This window comes from Homo sapiens, chromosome 6, assembly GCF_000001405.40.
Source record: "Homo sapiens chromosome 6, GRCh38.p14 Primary Assembly".
NCBI lineage: Eukaryota > Metazoa > Chordata > Mammalia > Primates > Hominidae > Homo > Homo sapiens.
The window spans coordinates 152969213-152985228 of NC_000006.12; the positions used below are offsets into that span (position 1 = coordinate 152969213).

Consider the following 16016-nt stretch of genomic DNA (forward strand, 5'->3'; position numbering starts at 1 on the left):
TGATTCTTCTCTTTTCTTCATTAGTCTGGCTAGCGGTCTATTTTGTTGATCTTCTGAAAACATTAGCTCTTGGATTCACTGATTTTTTGAAGGGTTTTTCGTGTCTCTATCTCCTTCAGTTTTGCTTAGTTCTTTCTTGTCTTCTGCTAGCTTTTGAATTTGTTTGTTCTTGCTCCTCTAGTTATTTTAGGTGTGATATTAGGTATCAATTTTAGATCTTTCTGCTTTCTCCTGTGTGCATTTAGTGCTATAAATTTCCCTCTATACATTGCTTTAAATGTGTCCAGAGAATGATACCAGAGAATCTGGTATGTTGTGTCTTTGTTCTCATTGGTTTCAAGGAGCATTTTTATTTCTGCCTCAATTTCGTTATTCACCCAGTAGTCATTCTGGAGCAGATTTTTCAGTTTCCATGTGGTTGTGCGGTTCTGAGTGAGTTTCTTAATCCTGAGTTCTAATTTGATTGCACTGACAGCACCTTACTTGTAACAGCAGGAAATGGAGTAAAGAGCCAAACATCCATCAACTGGTGAACTGGTATATCCAACAGCATACTGCCTTGTAAGAAAAGAGCATTAACTACTGATGCACACGCACAGATGAGTGTCAAAATAGCCTTCAGTGAAAGCAAACTGACTCCATTTATAGAAAATCCTTGAAAAGTCTGCAGTGACAAAGATCAGTGATTGCCTGGGAGTTGACAGGAGGGACCCTCTACCTTAGGTTTTTGTTGAGACGAAAGGCAAAGCCCTTAAACATCTTTGGGGCCCAACTGATAGCATCCGAGGCCCACCCTTGAATCTTTGGAGGGCCTAGTCTGAATTCAGCCTCTTAGGATTTCCCCATATTCGTAATTGAAACTGAAACATAACTAACTTTGGAATTAAGGAATAAAGACATCCTTGTTCTGGGCTCTTGTTATTAGCACAAATGTTTGACTGCAGCCAAGATGGCATCTTATTCTATACAATTTAAATCCTTCTAGCTTTTTGAGGGGGATGGGGTGCTATTTAATCCATAGTTCAGCTGGTTTAGTGATAGACAAATTAGCACATCAGTATTTATCAGTGTCTTTTATGGCCTTCCTGTATTGAATCATCTCGAGATGTTTATCTCAAGACCCAACCCCACAACTACTGAATTAAGCTATTAAGTGGGAAAAACCGGGATCAGGGTACTGCCCAAAAATCTCACAAGCTCCCCAGAAAAACCATCACAAAAATCCATTCAATGCCTTCACACAAACGCAGTCTACTGCAGCTTCCTAATTCAGTTGTTTCCAGGATTACAATGTTTATAAAAGGTATACATTAAGCTTACAATTTTATTGAGCAAAATTTATTTTTATATGTACATACAAGAGACATATTCTTTGACATATAAAAAATACAGAAATATTTACATGTATACAAAAATATTAAAACAGATTTCAGAAATAAGGAAAACAAGCAAGTTTTTACAAAGGATACTTTCTTGGGAAATACACACAATGAAAAAAAGCTTTAGAAAGGTGACAACACATTTAATAGACTCCAGAAGTTGATATTTCTGTTGGTATCAATTGAGTAAGAGGAACATAAAATGTCTGAAATGCTAACAGATGGAAAACCAGACATATTTAAGACTGTCTAGGTAAAATTGCATGGGTTTCCTTTACCATAAAATTGAATCAATTTTTTTTTACCCTCAGTATCACTATCTACTTTTCCTTTTTTCTTAAAATATTTAAATTGTTTGATTTGTATTGAGAATTTTAAACTTTTTCTCATTAAATTGTAAAAATATTTTAAGAGGTTGTCTATCCTCTTTATCTTCTGGGGGGAAAAAAACCTCAGGATACTACACCGATTTCAACATAAAATTGAAAATCACAATACAATTTTTTTTAAGTTAAAACCTAACATTTTCTAACTAACATTCATGATCAGTAACAATTGATTTAATAAGAGATCACAATCTTCGTAAATTCTTTTTGCTTTTCTTTGTACCAGGCAGGGGACCTATTTTACAACTGGCTTTGAGGAGCTTGCCATCTGAACAGTCTTTAGTAGTATGATAATTACAGAGACACTTCGTACAATAATCAAATCCACAGCCTTCTCGTTTGCAGGTTGCCCGTTGTAAATAGCAATCATATTTTGCAGGTGAATTACAGCGAATACAGGCTTTGAGGCTTTCGTTCTTTTTCAATGTCTTGGCAACCTAAAAAGAAAAAAAAAACCCATTAACAAATTTCAGCAAGAATTACATGTACTTTAGTTAATAAAACCAAGGACACCCTTGCACCTTCCCCAATTCATGTATGAAATATCACTGTCACACATACGATAACTACTGCCCTAACTATTGCCCTTTATCTATGCATTATCTGATAGATGCTCAATAAATGCTTTTTGAATAAATCTGTATGTTGCATTAGTCATTATGGCATAAAATTTAAGAATAGTTTTATTATGTAGGATTTATATTTACTGATCAACATGAATCAGAAAATATTCTATAATTTTGGTAAGTTATCTAAATTAAGCTTGCAAAGTTATCTACATTTGAGTAGAAATTTTAGCACACATCATTCACTGATCTGAAGGTATAATAGAAGGCCTTCAAGTTCAGAAAGCTTGCCTTTTTCCACTTAACTCTCTTCCTCGGTTCTTAAAAGCGGAAAATGCAAAATGTAGTACTGAGTAATTTTATAAGAAATCTAGGTTTTTCATTATTTCTTCAGTGTTTCTAAATTAGAACTCAAAATCACTGAACTTTCAAACAATGCCAAGCAGTACCTAATATTCATAGAAATACATTTCTACGTACTTTCCTAATTTCATGTTTCTTTTGTTTTCCACATTGAGAGCGAAATGAAGAGGACACTAATGAAATCCCTAATAGTTCTAATTATACTATAATTAAATTTAAATGATCATTAATATCAGGTTTCTTAATGTCAGAGAATAAATTAGTTATTATCTAGAGCAAAGTTACATTTTGACCTTGAAAGTTCTTTTACATTTCTTACTCTAAATCTCTTATGTTTTAAGATTTATGATTAGACAAAAAATTACCTCAGAGAATTCATTGTGTCGACTATAAGTAGAACCTTTCTGATCACCTTGATTGGATAACTTGGTTTGAGCATCTTTTTTGAGAGAAGTCTGGGCTGCTGATTTCTGAACAGAAGCCAGTGGGGTTCTGAACATAACATATTCTCTGGTTGAAGCATGAGGTGAAAATTTATTGTTGTTTTCCTAATTTAAAAAAAAGTTTTAATAGAATTTAGAAATTATTTCCTGTATCCTCAATGAGACATTTTTATGTTTGTACATATAAGAAATGACAAACAAGATTAGGTAAGAGACTTATCCCTACATGCAATTTACCTGCACGTACTTAAACAAAGCAAAACCTAAATACTCACACATATCAAGCCTAACTTATAGACAGAAACTGTGAACCAAATACTATGGGAAATCACTTTAGATGCAGTCTATATGGTACTTAATACCTAAAAAGTAAAACAGCTTTTCCAAATTTTCCAGATGTTATAAAATACACATACACACAACTGGCAACTAAGATTGACTAAATGGTCGACTCTATCTGAGAAATGAGTAATTTTCCCTTTGTTACTTTAGACATTCTATTTCTAGGAAGAATCCAAGAAATAAATGTTGAGTTGAGATTTCTTTATTTTTGAATGTGGTTTCTAAGTTCCAGTATAAGGCTGAAATACTTTATGACTGTAAAGAAGGGTTTCCAGATTACCTCTTTTCTTTTCTATTTCTAGAAGAGCACTAACAGTGCATTTTTAACTAAAAACATCATCTGCAAACACTTACGGTAACTCTTTGTATTGCTTTACTGTACAACTGGAATGCCCCCTTATCATCTTCTAGGATCTTCTTCCAAGTTGTGCTCACTTTAGACACACTGGAAAAGTAAATCACCATAAATGAAATAATTAAAGCATCACAAAGAGCTAAGATGAATACAGTAGAAAAACATCAGCAGTGCAAAAAGATATTTTATATTATTAGTGCTTCTCAAACCTGACCACATTACAATTGCCTGGCGGTTTTAACTGGTCTAAAATGAAGCTCAGGGCTCTGTATTTTTAAAAAGCTCCCTCCTCATTAAGTAATTCTGAGTGCATTGAGGCTTAAGAACCACTGCTTTGTACAGTATTTTTTCACAATATCTGCAAACATCAAATAGTAGCCCCCACTGTATATATGATACCATGTTAGCTATCTGGTAAAAGTAATAGACAAATTTCAAAGTACTCTAGGCACACTGCTATTAGAAATCAACTTTAGAAACTCACTATGTTAACAGAAAAAGTAGAATCTGTGGTACTGATTTGACTGTCCCTCAAGAAGCTGTTTAGGCTCATGCCTGTAATCCCAGCACTTTGGAAGGCTGAAGCAGGCAGATCACGAGGTCAAGATATCGAGATACCCTCCTGGCCAACATGGTGAAACCCTGTGTCTACTAAAAATACAAAAATTAGCTGGGCGTGGTGGCACACGCCTGTAGTCCCAGCTACTCAGGAGGCAGAAGAATCACTTGAGCCCGGGAGGCAGAGGTTGCAGTGAGCTGAGATCGTGCCACTGCACTCCAACCTGGTGACAGGGCGAGACTCCGTCCCCAAAAAAAATTAAAAAAAAAGAAGCTGTTTATATCTGTTTTGCTTTAGCTCTGTTTCATAAAGACCAGTGTAAACTCACACTTGCAAAGAGTACCTCTAGATAATTTTTCAAAAAGCCAAAAAAAAAAAAACAACTCCAGTTAAGTCCTATCTAATTCTAGCCTGCATAATCACCTTAATTCTCAAAGTTATCTGACTAAGTGATTTTCCTTGGTAGATTGAGAAAGAAATGGTGGTTAGCACCAGGTTTCTAAGAAATTGTCATAAACAGAGCCTGGGAGGTGGAGGTTGCAGTAAGCCAAGATTGCACCATTGCGCTCCAGCCTGGGTGACTGGAGTGAAACCCTGTCTCAAAAAAAAAAAAAAGTCACAAATCTCTATTTGTGGATCTTTATATTTTCATCACTGTCAAATCTAGGAGAGCCCTAGCACCAAAAATGGCTTAGAAAGAACAAAAATTACTTCATACTTTCTGGTGTGACAAGTCATAATGCCTATTAGACATGTAGACTGGAACTAGGCTGTTTTACAGTTAAGCCCCAAAGATGTAACTTACATATTAGAAATTTCAAAACTAAAAGGAACAAGGATCCTAATCCAACAGAAATAGTTTTGTAATAGCATGAATATAAAATTTGAAATGACTAGGTTAAATGCATAATTCAAGTTTTCTTTCATCTTAGTGGCACATAGGTAGCAAAACACCAGCAAGTCATTACCGCAATTAAACAACATTGTAAGGTTATCTACAACAGGTTGAGCATCTCTAATCCAAAAATCTGAAAACTTTTGAATGCTGACATGATGCTCAAAGGAAATGCACATTGGAGCACTTGCGGATTTTGGATTAGGGATGTTCAACTGTTTAACCTGTAGGGTATAATACAAATATTCCAAAATTTGAAAAACATCTGAAATCCTTCTGGTACTAAGCATTTCAGATGAGGGACACTCAACCTGTACAACAGCCTTTGCATGAGCTGGTGGTACTGAGCCACTAACAGCAATGTTCAGTGTATTATGCTAATATGTATATTCAAAACAGTACTTACTTGATTAAGTCCATGTCACTGAGTTGTGCTAAAATAGTTGCTAAGACATGTCTGAGTCCCCTTCGAAAGAGTTCGCTGAGAATATCTACACATTCTAGGCCCATTTTTCTGCCAATTATATTCTGCAGTCTAAAATTTCCTCTGGCTATAATTTCCTTCAGCATCTCCCGATCTACTTTAGGATTTCGTTTTGCATTCTTTTTTAATGTTGAACAAACCACTTTTTCAAAATGAAGAACTGGCAGCAAGTTTTTGTTGGGATATTGGTCTGGGCTTTGTATTTGTAGCAGGCAGGATTGTAGACTGTCACCGAAATTCTCCTCCAGGAGGCTACCTTCTTCATGTTCACTGAGGCCACTTTGTAGAGAAAATGAGGAATAGCCACTGTCTTCATAAAGTCTACTGGTCTCTAGTGCTTCTATTTCATTTGTACTATTAAGTGTCTGTTGCACATGTTGATTTTCCTTGTTATGCAAGCGCTTGCTTTCAGTTTCAAGTTGTACAATCCTAGGGCTCACAATCGGTGACCCAATACATGACAGCCTTTCATAGTCTTTAATGCAGTCTTTACAGGAACCTTCCAAATATGCAGGGGTGTAGGAAACTAGTCTTCCAATGTCATCAGGTTTTACCAGTTTAAGTCCGGAATGAACATGGTTACAATTAAAATCACACTTCATTTTGACAGAAAGGGTAGAACTTTCTTCTTTACAACCTATAAAAAGAACATAACATTTACATCTTAATGGCAAAATTTCCACACATCCCTACTTCTTAAATTGGGATATACAAAGATTACTTTGCAATCTCTCAGCATTAGGTATTGTCTACATGTACTTGCTTACATAGCTGTGATGTTATTCAAGTTTAATTATTGATATGACAATAATATGTGAAAATATTACTTAAATCTTATAAGTACATACATATTATATTATTCTTGAGAAGGCACTTCAGAACAGACTGCTTTTGGATCTGCCTGGCTGTAACACCTGACTGTTGTCTATAACTGATTGAGTAAAAAATAGTGGAAAAAGGGGCTATATAATAAACATCTGTGTTTATGGAACAAATGAAGAAATGTGATGTATCAAAAGAGTAGGCGCTATGGTCAAAGTTATCCTTAAAGTAACCACAAATACTTTTAGATTCAGTGTTTATTCCTTGGACTTGAAATGACATTATGGTTCTCTTTGACGTAAGCACAACCCAAGCCACTGACAGCAAAAGTGGTTAAGATTAGTACAGGAGGACAAGGTATAAGGGTGGGAATAATCTTGATAAAAATAATAAAAATTTTGTGTATTATTTCACTATTAACAATGATTGCAAGCCTTAAAATAACTATTCAAGAAATCTATAGGTAGCTTGGAGAAAAGAACTAATAACACATTTAAACATCTATAAATTAAAGTCTACCTGAATTCCCACAGCTCTTATCTCCAAGTTTTATTCTGATGGGTGCTCCTGGTGACCTTCTAATATATTCAAAGCGTTTGTCTACCTTACTGGATAGTAAACTCGAGTACCGGGACATCTCCCTGTACCTTGTCTAATATGTGCTGGAAACTGCTCTTTAATCACTGAACAAAGACATTCCACGACTAATTTACCAAAGAACCGTAAGTATGAATAGTTCTGCTATCAATCAAAAGTAAGTGTTGGTAAATAAGAATGACACTCTAATCAATTAACCAGATTTAAGAATATGAGTGATAGGGCAGCAGGTGTAAATTACTGTTCAATTGCTTTAAATAACTTAAGATAAACTTGCTATTAATGATAAATAGAAAAAAGGGAAAGACTTGTTCAGGGTTTTATTACCACCCTGCTCCAACCCCCGGGATCTAAGAAATCAGTTAAGACACAATGGAGCAGGCAGCATCTTAAGATAGCTTTAAAGCAAGATTTCACCATCCCTGTGCTACAGACATTTTGCAGTGAATACCTCTTTGTTCTCAGGGACTGTCCTGTGCATTGTAGGATGTTAAGCAGCCTTTACCCATTAGACACCAGTGGCAGCCCCCACTCCCAAGATGCAATGTCTCCAGTTACCAGTTATTGCCAAATACTGGGCAGGGAAAAAGGCCAGATGCAAAATTTCCTCTATTCTTCAGTTGAGAACCACAACTCTAAAAAATGATTAGGATTTTGTCAGACAACAGTGGCCTGGGAAGGGCATTCACAATTTGAGCAACGGCACAATGCTGGGAAGGAATATGGTAGATGGGTTCAGAAAACTGTTTAGCATTGTTGAAGGCAGAGAGTAAGAGTAGGCAAACAATGGGGACATGAGCTAAGAAAGCCTGAATCTTAAATGCCAGGTTAAAATGTGCCCCATCTACCATCCCCACACAAGCCAATCATATATAGCTAACAATTTATCCTGTAAGTAAATGTATACAGCATCAGTATGTTTAGTCTGCACTAAATATTGGTAATGCGTTCATATAAAACTTAACCATTTTTTACATAGAGCAAAACTTTTTAACTCAAAGTAGAAATGGATACCTTCATAGAAAGTAACTTGTAGAGAGAAACTGCTTGTAAATTCCCAATGTTAATACAGTGAAAGACACATAGTATGTGCTCCAGGATCCTACTAAACCTAAAATTAAGGGTTCAGCTGCATAAAAAGCAAAGAATATACAAATTCTAGCTCCCTAATTAACCCTAAACCTAGAACAAATGATTCTGAGTGGTTTAGTTTTATTCAGAGGAAAAGTAAAAAATGCCAAGAGATTGCCTCTATTTTTGCCTCAAATCAACTAAAGAATTAGGTTTGATTTATATATGACCACAATTTACATGACAGGATAAAAAAGCAGAAGCCACTTATGAAGGGCACACTCTGCTTTGTTTAGCTGCCTAAACCAAAAAGGCCTGAAAATACTTCAGGAATTCAAAGTCATTCTCTTTCTGCTGTCTTTAGAACAGTTACTGGGGGGTTGTCCTATAGAACCTCTTTCATTCAACACTGTTCTTTGAATATGGACAGTTCCTTAAAATTAGAGCTAATAATGATGCAAATCCTTTATATTTGTTTAGAAGTTTGCAATTTCCAATGCTTACAAACCTTTTGAGGTAGGATGGGGAATTGTTATTTTTACAATTGAGCACACTGAAGTGTAGCTTAGTTTGCCCAATACAGGCAGTTAATTAAATGAGCCAGATTTCTCTTCCTCATTATAATGAGGTGCTCTGGAAAAACAGATCTTACAAATAACATTCATACTGTTTATAAAAATGATAGAAAAGTCAGAATTTATGTTGCAAGCGCACTTAAGGTACTAAAGAAGAAAATGTGTACGTTTCTTTTCTCATGTGAGCTGGCCCTTTTCCAGTCCTTAGTAACAATGACCTTTCCATCCCAGGGGCTTTGTACATCATGCCTTTCCCTGCTTAGAATCTTTTCCACTTCCTTTGCTTATTTAGCTTCTAATCCATTAATCATGGAGAGCTTCATTTTTTGGGGGGGGGGGGGGGGCGGGGGACTTCTCAGACCTCATCAAACTCTACTCTAAAGCACTACCAAATTGAAATTTTAAAAAGTACTTTAATTTCCTTAAAGGCCAGACATAACTGTTACTGCTTATGACAAAATCCAAGCAAATGGCAGTGCCTGACACAATGAAGACATATGATATAAAAATGTGTTTCCCATTTTTTTTTGTTAGCTAATACCAACATTAGAATCTGTACTCTTCCTCACGAAATTAGCACTTAAGGAGTTAAAATGACTACCACGTTCCTCTTGCAACAACAGTATTTTCACATGGATAATTAGATTTAGTATTTAGGTAAGGTGCAGTGGCTCATGCCTATAATCCCAACACTTTGGGAGGCTGAGGTTGGGGGACTGCTTGAGCTCAGGAGTTCAGACCAGTCTGGGCAACATAAAGAGACTCCATCTCTACAACAATTAAAAAAAGAAACTAGCTGGGCATGGTGGCATGTGCCTTTGGTACCAACTACTAGGGAGGCTGAGGCGGGAGAATTGCTTGAGCCCGGGAGGTTGAGGCTGCAGGGAGTTGTGATCATACCACTGCATTCCAGCCTGGAAGACAGAGGGAAACCCTGTCTTAAAAAAAAAGAAAAAAGAAAAAAAAAGGTTTAGTATTTTAAAAGAATTTTAATAAACTTATTTGAATTCACAGAAAAGCTGCAAGGATAGTGCAGAATTCCTGTACACCCATTGCTTAACTTATATTACTAACAGTAATGCATGTCACAACAAATTAACCAATATTGTTGCATTATTAACTAAAATCCCTATTTTATGTGGACTGCTGTAGTTTCTACCTAAAATCTTTTTTCTGTTCCCGGGTCTTATCCAGGATACATTACATTTAGTCATCATATCTCCTTAGGCTCCTCTTGACTATGACAATTTCCTTGTTTATAATTACCTTGACAACTCTGAGAAATACTGGTTATTTTGTAGCCTGTTCCACAATTAGGATTTGTCAAGTTTTTCTCAGCCTTAGTCTGGGGCTGTGGGTTTTTAGACCAGAGGTAAGGTGCTATGATTTGAACTGTTGTTAGCCTTGATTACTTGGCTGAGGTAGTATTTCTGAGCTTGCTCCAAATGTAAAGTTACTCCTTTTTGTTCTTTTTCCATTTGAAACTTTTTGGAAGGAAGTCACTATGTACACCTCACACTTAAAGGAGTGGGGAGTAAATTTATAAATCATTTGGAATTCTTCTTTACAGCAGATTTGTCCATTAATCTCCTATTTATTCATACTACCAATCATTTATATCAGTATAAACTCATAGACTTTGGGTTATAATCCAATACTATTTACTGTATTGCTCAAATTGTTCCAGCTTTTGCTATTGTGAGCTCTTGCAGTTGACATTGGTGTCCATTTCACATACTTAAATCATTTTGTGTTTTGAACATCCCTTACTTTCTGGGACTACAAGATGCTCTAAGTGCATCTTATAATTTCCGTTTCAGCCCTAGAATCAGTCATTTCTCCAAGCACTGTGGTTTCCTTTTTTTTGGAAAAAGGTATTAAATGAGAGTGAAATCTGGATGTTGGTTGTAGATTTAATTTTAAAATATGAAATTAATGTATTTTTCATTTCCATAACAATACTGCAGAAGAAATAGAATAGCATCATATTTTATAAAAATGGAAGCTGAAGCAACTGTTTGCAAAAGGTTAAATCCATTCCTTTTAACTAGCTAAGTGTTTTCCAATGACCAGGCCAAATTTGGGAAATATGTGAAGTATTCATATAATTATTATCCAGAAAGACAGAAAACATTATATGGCTTCATAACCTCTTGAATGAAACAGATGAGGGCTAAGAGTTCAGTTGAACCATTTCACTTATTTATCCAACATCCATTCAGTGACAGGGTAGGGAGAGAGAAAGATATTAATTAGGGATGATCTTTCAGCAAAGCTGACATTCTGAGATCTGAACACCTTATGGAAATCTGGTGGAGGAGTTCCAGATGGTGGGAAACACAGGAAGCAAGGAAAAATGTGAGTGTTCAAGGAAGAGAAATATCTGTAGGGCTGAGTTGGGGGAGGTTATTGAAAATTATAGTTGAAGAAGTAGAATGATCTGCAGATTTGTGGGGTAGGCTGGGTCAAAAGTGGAGAAATTTGGTTTACATTTTTAAAAGATCATTGGCAATTGTGGAGAATGAATTGCAGGAAGGTAAGTAGAAGCAGAGAGAATAGTTAGAAGTGTTTATGACAGAAGTAGAGTGTGGGAAACCCAGACTAGAAGGATTGTAGTGGAAATGAAAATAACTGCATAAATTCAAGGTCTGTTATTTAGAAGGGTAAAGTCAACTTGCTGCTAATCTACTAGATCTGGATATGAAGAAAAGGAGAGTAAAAAAACACCCTGGGGTTTAAGTCTTGAGTATCGAAGGTATACAGTGCTATTTACTGAGTATGGAAAACTGAAGAAGTTAACTCTTAAAACCTCACTTTCCTCATCCATAAAATGGGAGTAAGACAATGAAACAGGACTAAATGCAAGGCAAAGTCCCTATCACAAGGGTCTAGTCAATACAATCTATTTTTAATCACATAAGCCAAATCCCTTCATATTCCTTACATTGACAATCATTAACATTTGAAAGTAGTAAAACACATTTCACAAAGAAGTATATATTTCAGAGTAACACATACTTTTCCATTAGAATGTATAGATTTAAGAATCAGATCCAAGTTTGAATGAAAATCCTTGCTTAGCCTTTTGACTAGCTTTGTGAACTTGGAATGTCCTATTCCTATTTTTCCCCCAAGTGCAGACACTAATAAGACTCATACATGGCATTGTTTAAACTTCTCATTTACCAACTCCCAGCCCAGTCATATAGAGAAAAGTAAATTTTACAATGTTTGATCTTACATTTAACTTTTCAATATAGACCTGATCCTCCATATCAAATATCATAAATAAGGCTGCAGTCCTTAAAAATCTTTGTAACTCTTCTGTTAAATAATTAAGTTCCAGTCTCTAATACCTACAGATAACGACCATGTGGTCAACGTTAGGCATGGCTATTCCTTAAGAATTTAAGAGGCCCAATGCTTGTGACCATAAAGTAATCTTTAAGAGAAAATTTTACAAAAGCCTCCTTTGAAAACTACTTGGAAGTAACATATATGTATTTTTAATTTCATCTCCTCAAACCTGTAAACTGGGGAAAAAATTCCAACAGGCAGTCATTTCTTTCTGAGGAGCAAGGTAGTAAAGACAATTAGAGTTATCAAAAAAGAAAAAAAAAAAACCCTCATAAGGCCATCAAGCTTCAGAATTTCGATGGTAGACTGACGATCCAGGATCTTCTAGAAATATATTTAATCTATTAAAATTAAAATTAAGTATTTTTTTCTAGAGTTCTTTTTTAATAATAGAGTCATTACAAAATAGTACAATGCCGAATTGCTAAATTTTTTCATTTTGGGTTATTTCTCAGGTAAAAATAAGTGCATATAGATTTTATTTAGAGGTAGCAACAAAGAGGATAAAAATAAGCATTTGAGTGCATTCCATTCTCTGCAAGCTTTGAAATAAAGGACTATCTAATTCTTCATGAGTTATCGGGAAAAAGTCACCAATTCTTCGATTCTTACAAAATCATCTTAATACTATGGACAAATTCAAGGTTCGTAGTAAAAATTGCTTTTTTTAAAGTCTTCCCTTTCCACTCCAGGCCCTGAGACTGGGTTAACGGGCAAAGGGAGAAAAAATTGGGAAAAAGTAACGTTTTTGTTTGGATGTCCCAGTTGAGTTTGGTCCAATGAGTTGGGGGGGTGTCTCTCCATTTGGCGGGAGTGGGGAGGGAGACCCTGGAACTCCTGAGGGATCGGTGGGGCTGCCCCTCAGGGCGCGGGACACGCGGAGGAGGCGGGAGATAACCGCGAGCGCGATCTCCCGCGCCCGCCAGCAAGGCTGGGACCGCGAAAAATCGGGGAAACTGCCTTTGGCTGTGAGGGTGCGGGGCAGATGTAGAAAAGGGGCGCAGGGGGAGAAGGTGAGGCACCTGGCCAGGCCCTGGGGGCTTCTCGCTCGCAGCCCTGTCACCGCCGGGGGCCCCGGGGTGGGGGAGGGGAGGGGCATTTGGCGCCTATTCAAGCAGGGTGGGGTAGGTGGGTCTTCCGAGGAGGAAAAAGGGCGCCCTGGGATGCCACGACCCGCACCTCCCGGGGCTGGAGTCCACGGTCGGCGTGGGTGGCGGGACCCCGCGGCCCGCCATCCCGCCCCTGCACATCTGGCTCTTCTGGCTTCCCCCCGACACCCAGCCGCCCTCCTCCCGGACCCAGGAACCGCTGCCGCCGCCCGAGGCCGGGCGTGTGGCATGGCCGCGCGTCCAGGCTCCGAGGGACGTCGGGTCAGGGTCTCAGGCTGCGACCCTCCCCGTGCACCCCTCCTGGCGTGCGCGCCCCCCTCGCGACCGCTCCCCTCACTCACTATCCGAGGGTCGAGGGCGCCCGGCGGCTGTCACTGCGCTGGGGCTGGCGCTGCAGGAGCAGCGGGGTGGCCGTAGGGCGCAGCTGCAGGGGCGCCGGCTCATGCCAGCCGACGTGGAGTCTGCCTCAGGTGGAGGAACCGCTCCGGGGGCAGCTGAGCAACCTGCCTGCTTCACAGACCTGTATCTCTTAAAAGGCGCCAGCTGGTACTTTTAAAATCTTTGAATTTGGTGCCTAAATCCGCGCGGTCCAATGAGACGCGTCGCTTGCATGCGCGCACCAATAGGAGGGCAGTGGGTGGGGGCGCCCTCGTCCGCGCCCAATTGGAGGCTGCCGAGGCGGGGCCGAGCCGCGAAGCCCAGCCCCCTTCCAGCTTACCGGCTCCCCACGTCCGGAAAGATGCTACGGCCGGGGGCGGGACCTCCGAGCACGGGGAGGCCGCGGCCCGGCCACACGTGTGGAGGGTCTATCACGCATGCGTGCGCCCGCCAAGATTCCTTCCGCCGTCTTCTGGACCGGCCTCCTGCAAGTCCTAATCTCAGCCCAAATTCAGCGCTGGCTTCCATCTGGAGATCTTTGATGGGTACAAATGGTAGCCGACTTTCTTCGATCATCTCTCGAACGGGAGTTCGGTGAGCAGCAACTCGGCTCGTCCGGGAATCCAGACTTTCCGGAAGACGGACCCTCCCCCCAGTCCAGCTTAGCCCGCCTCTCTAGGATTTACGCGCGCGCTCTGCTCTCCCTCCTAACTCGACCCTCCCCTTGACCCACGCCTCTGCGCAGGCGCCTTGGCGGGCTGTGGCTGCGGAGTTGGCGGGTCGGCGCCTGCGCACTGGAGTCCCCCGCGATTTTTTCCTCCGGGGTGGGCGAGGAGGCTGTGCGGCCTTCCCCAGCGGCTGTAGCAGGAGACCTGCGGCTGCATCTCCCAGGGCCTTCCGGCGGGGCCGAGGGTAGGACCGAGGCACTTCTTCCTTGCAAGCGCGTTTATTTGTATTTTCAACCACACTTCAGACGCTACTGGTTTATAGGAACGTTAAGTTTACTGAGTGTGCAGCTACGCTCCCCTGGGTTTTTGTTCCTTTCCTTAAAGGGCCAGGTGTAGGAGACAGTAGTCCTGCTCCCAAAAAAAGAATAAATAGAAGTGCCCGCCCTCTTGGGCTGGACCCCCGTGGCCAAGGGAGTTTTTAGTGATGGCTGGCATGGACGTCAGTATGAAAGTGTACCGGAGTATTAGTGATGCTTAACTTTTCACAATTTGAATATGCACTTAAGTAGGGCAGTGCATTCCCTGAACTCAGCTTTATGGCTACAGCCCAGTGAAGCAACGGGATGTGAACTCCAAAACGGCGAATCCTCCTTTGCTGTTTCCCTCTGGTGCCTTTCTGCAGCCTCGGAGTGAGTTCTTGGCTGTAGTCAGTTTTCAGTACCGTTAGTGACGAGTCCGGTGGGGCGCGGCCAGGATTAGGATGAATCATACAAGTGCTGGGTGGATCCTGTCTTTACCTAAAATTTTGATAATTAGTTGTGGGGCGCGGCCAGGATTAGGATGAATCATACAAGTGCTGGGTGGATCCTGTCTTTACCTAAAATTTTGATAATTAGTTCATCATGGGTTTTTTGCCTTTTTCATTTTTAAAAATGTTAAAATAGTGTCACTCTTGATGACTTAAATTTTTTTCATCCCCGTAAACGCACCTGAGGCCTGTGCTTCCTTGCCTCACCCTAACCTGGCCCTGGGGCTAGATCCTGGAGATTCAGGGTTGAAAAGACAAAGTCCTGTCCTTTAGGGAGTTTACAGAGACCAATGGGAAAGAAGTTGACAGTGAACAATTTCAGAACACGAAAGAGGATATGAAAGAATGTAATCGGGGGTAGAGAATGCAGATTAGTATAGGTTAAGGATTTTGGATGGTCAGGACGCTTTCTGAGGCTTTGAACCCAGATGCGTTGAACTGGCAATGCAGGGCTGCATAATAAGCAGAGGGAATAATAAGCAGAGGGAATGCCTGACTACGACTTAGTGAACAAGAGAGAGAGGAGATGAGGTTAGAGAGGTAGGCAGAAGCCAGATCCTGTGGGACCTTGTAGTTTTTCCATGCAGAGTTTAGACTTTCTTCTGATTGCAGTGGTTAGCTGTTGGAAGGATTTTGGCAAGGTAGTTATTTGTTGATAGAATATTGAAATTATAATAGCTTTTTTATGTAAAAAAAAGAATGTAAATGTTAGCCTTTCATTCTCACAATAGGTTAGCATTATTTTCAGTGTACAATGGTCGTGCTTCTCAGTGTGAGTTAATTCTCACTGTGGCTACCAAAACCACACAGCTAGTAAGCGGAGATTCGAGTGCCCGTCTGCAGGATTCAAAAAGTCCAT

General features: G+C 39.6%; 1 protein-coding gene across 2 annotated transcripts, besides 5 other annotated features; it reads right to left on the reverse strand.

Annotated features, from left to right (window-relative positions):
* Positions 1-1322: 1322 nt before the first annotated feature.
* Positions 1323-14367, reverse strand: FBXO5 (F-box protein 5). 2 transcript variants are annotated; one of them, NM_001142522.3, is made up of 5 exons: positions 14022-14367; positions 5695-6409; positions 3834-3924; positions 3060-3242; positions 1323-2202 (listed from the first exon to the last, which is right to left on the reverse strand). In NM_001142522.3, exons 2-5 carry the CDS (start codon positions 6372-6374, stop codon positions 1951-1953), a joined length of 1206 nt encoding a protein of 401 aa, NP_001135994.1. In that variant the 5' UTR covers positions 6375-6409; positions 14022-14367; the 3' UTR covers positions 1323-1950. The 2 variants fall into 2 exon arrangements, with proteins under 2 accessions (NP_001135994.1, NP_036309.1); NM_012177.5 differs by lacking the exon at positions 14022-14367 and adding an exon at positions 13645-13829.
* Positions 13263-13332: a silencer, noted in NCBI's record as "silent region_17691". NCBI's record gives its function as "represses an Ori minimal core promoter by ATAC-STARR-seq in GM12878 lymphoblastoid cells {active_cell/tissue: GM12878}" and the evidence as "EXISTENCE:reporter gene assay evidence [ECO:0000049][PMID:35858748]".
* Positions 13813-14132: a silencer, noted in NCBI's record as "silent region_17692". NCBI's record gives its function as "represses an Ori minimal core promoter by ATAC-STARR-seq in GM12878 lymphoblastoid cells {active_cell/tissue: GM12878}" and the evidence as "EXISTENCE:reporter gene assay evidence [ECO:0000049][PMID:35858748]".
* Positions 14163-14382: an enhancer, noted in NCBI's record as "active region_25291". NCBI's record gives its function as "activates an Ori minimal core promoter by ATAC-STARR-seq in GM12878 lymphoblastoid cells {active_cell/tissue: GM12878}" and the evidence as "EXISTENCE:reporter gene assay evidence [ECO:0000049][PMID:35858748]".
* Positions 14673-14792: an enhancer, noted in NCBI's record as "active region_25292". NCBI's record gives its function as "activates an Ori minimal core promoter by ATAC-STARR-seq in GM12878 lymphoblastoid cells {active_cell/tissue: GM12878}" and the evidence as "EXISTENCE:reporter gene assay evidence [ECO:0000049][PMID:35858748]".
* Positions 15323-15422: an enhancer, noted in NCBI's record as "active region_25293". NCBI's record gives its function as "activates an Ori minimal core promoter by ATAC-STARR-seq in GM12878 lymphoblastoid cells {active_cell/tissue: GM12878}" and the evidence as "EXISTENCE:reporter gene assay evidence [ECO:0000049][PMID:35858748]".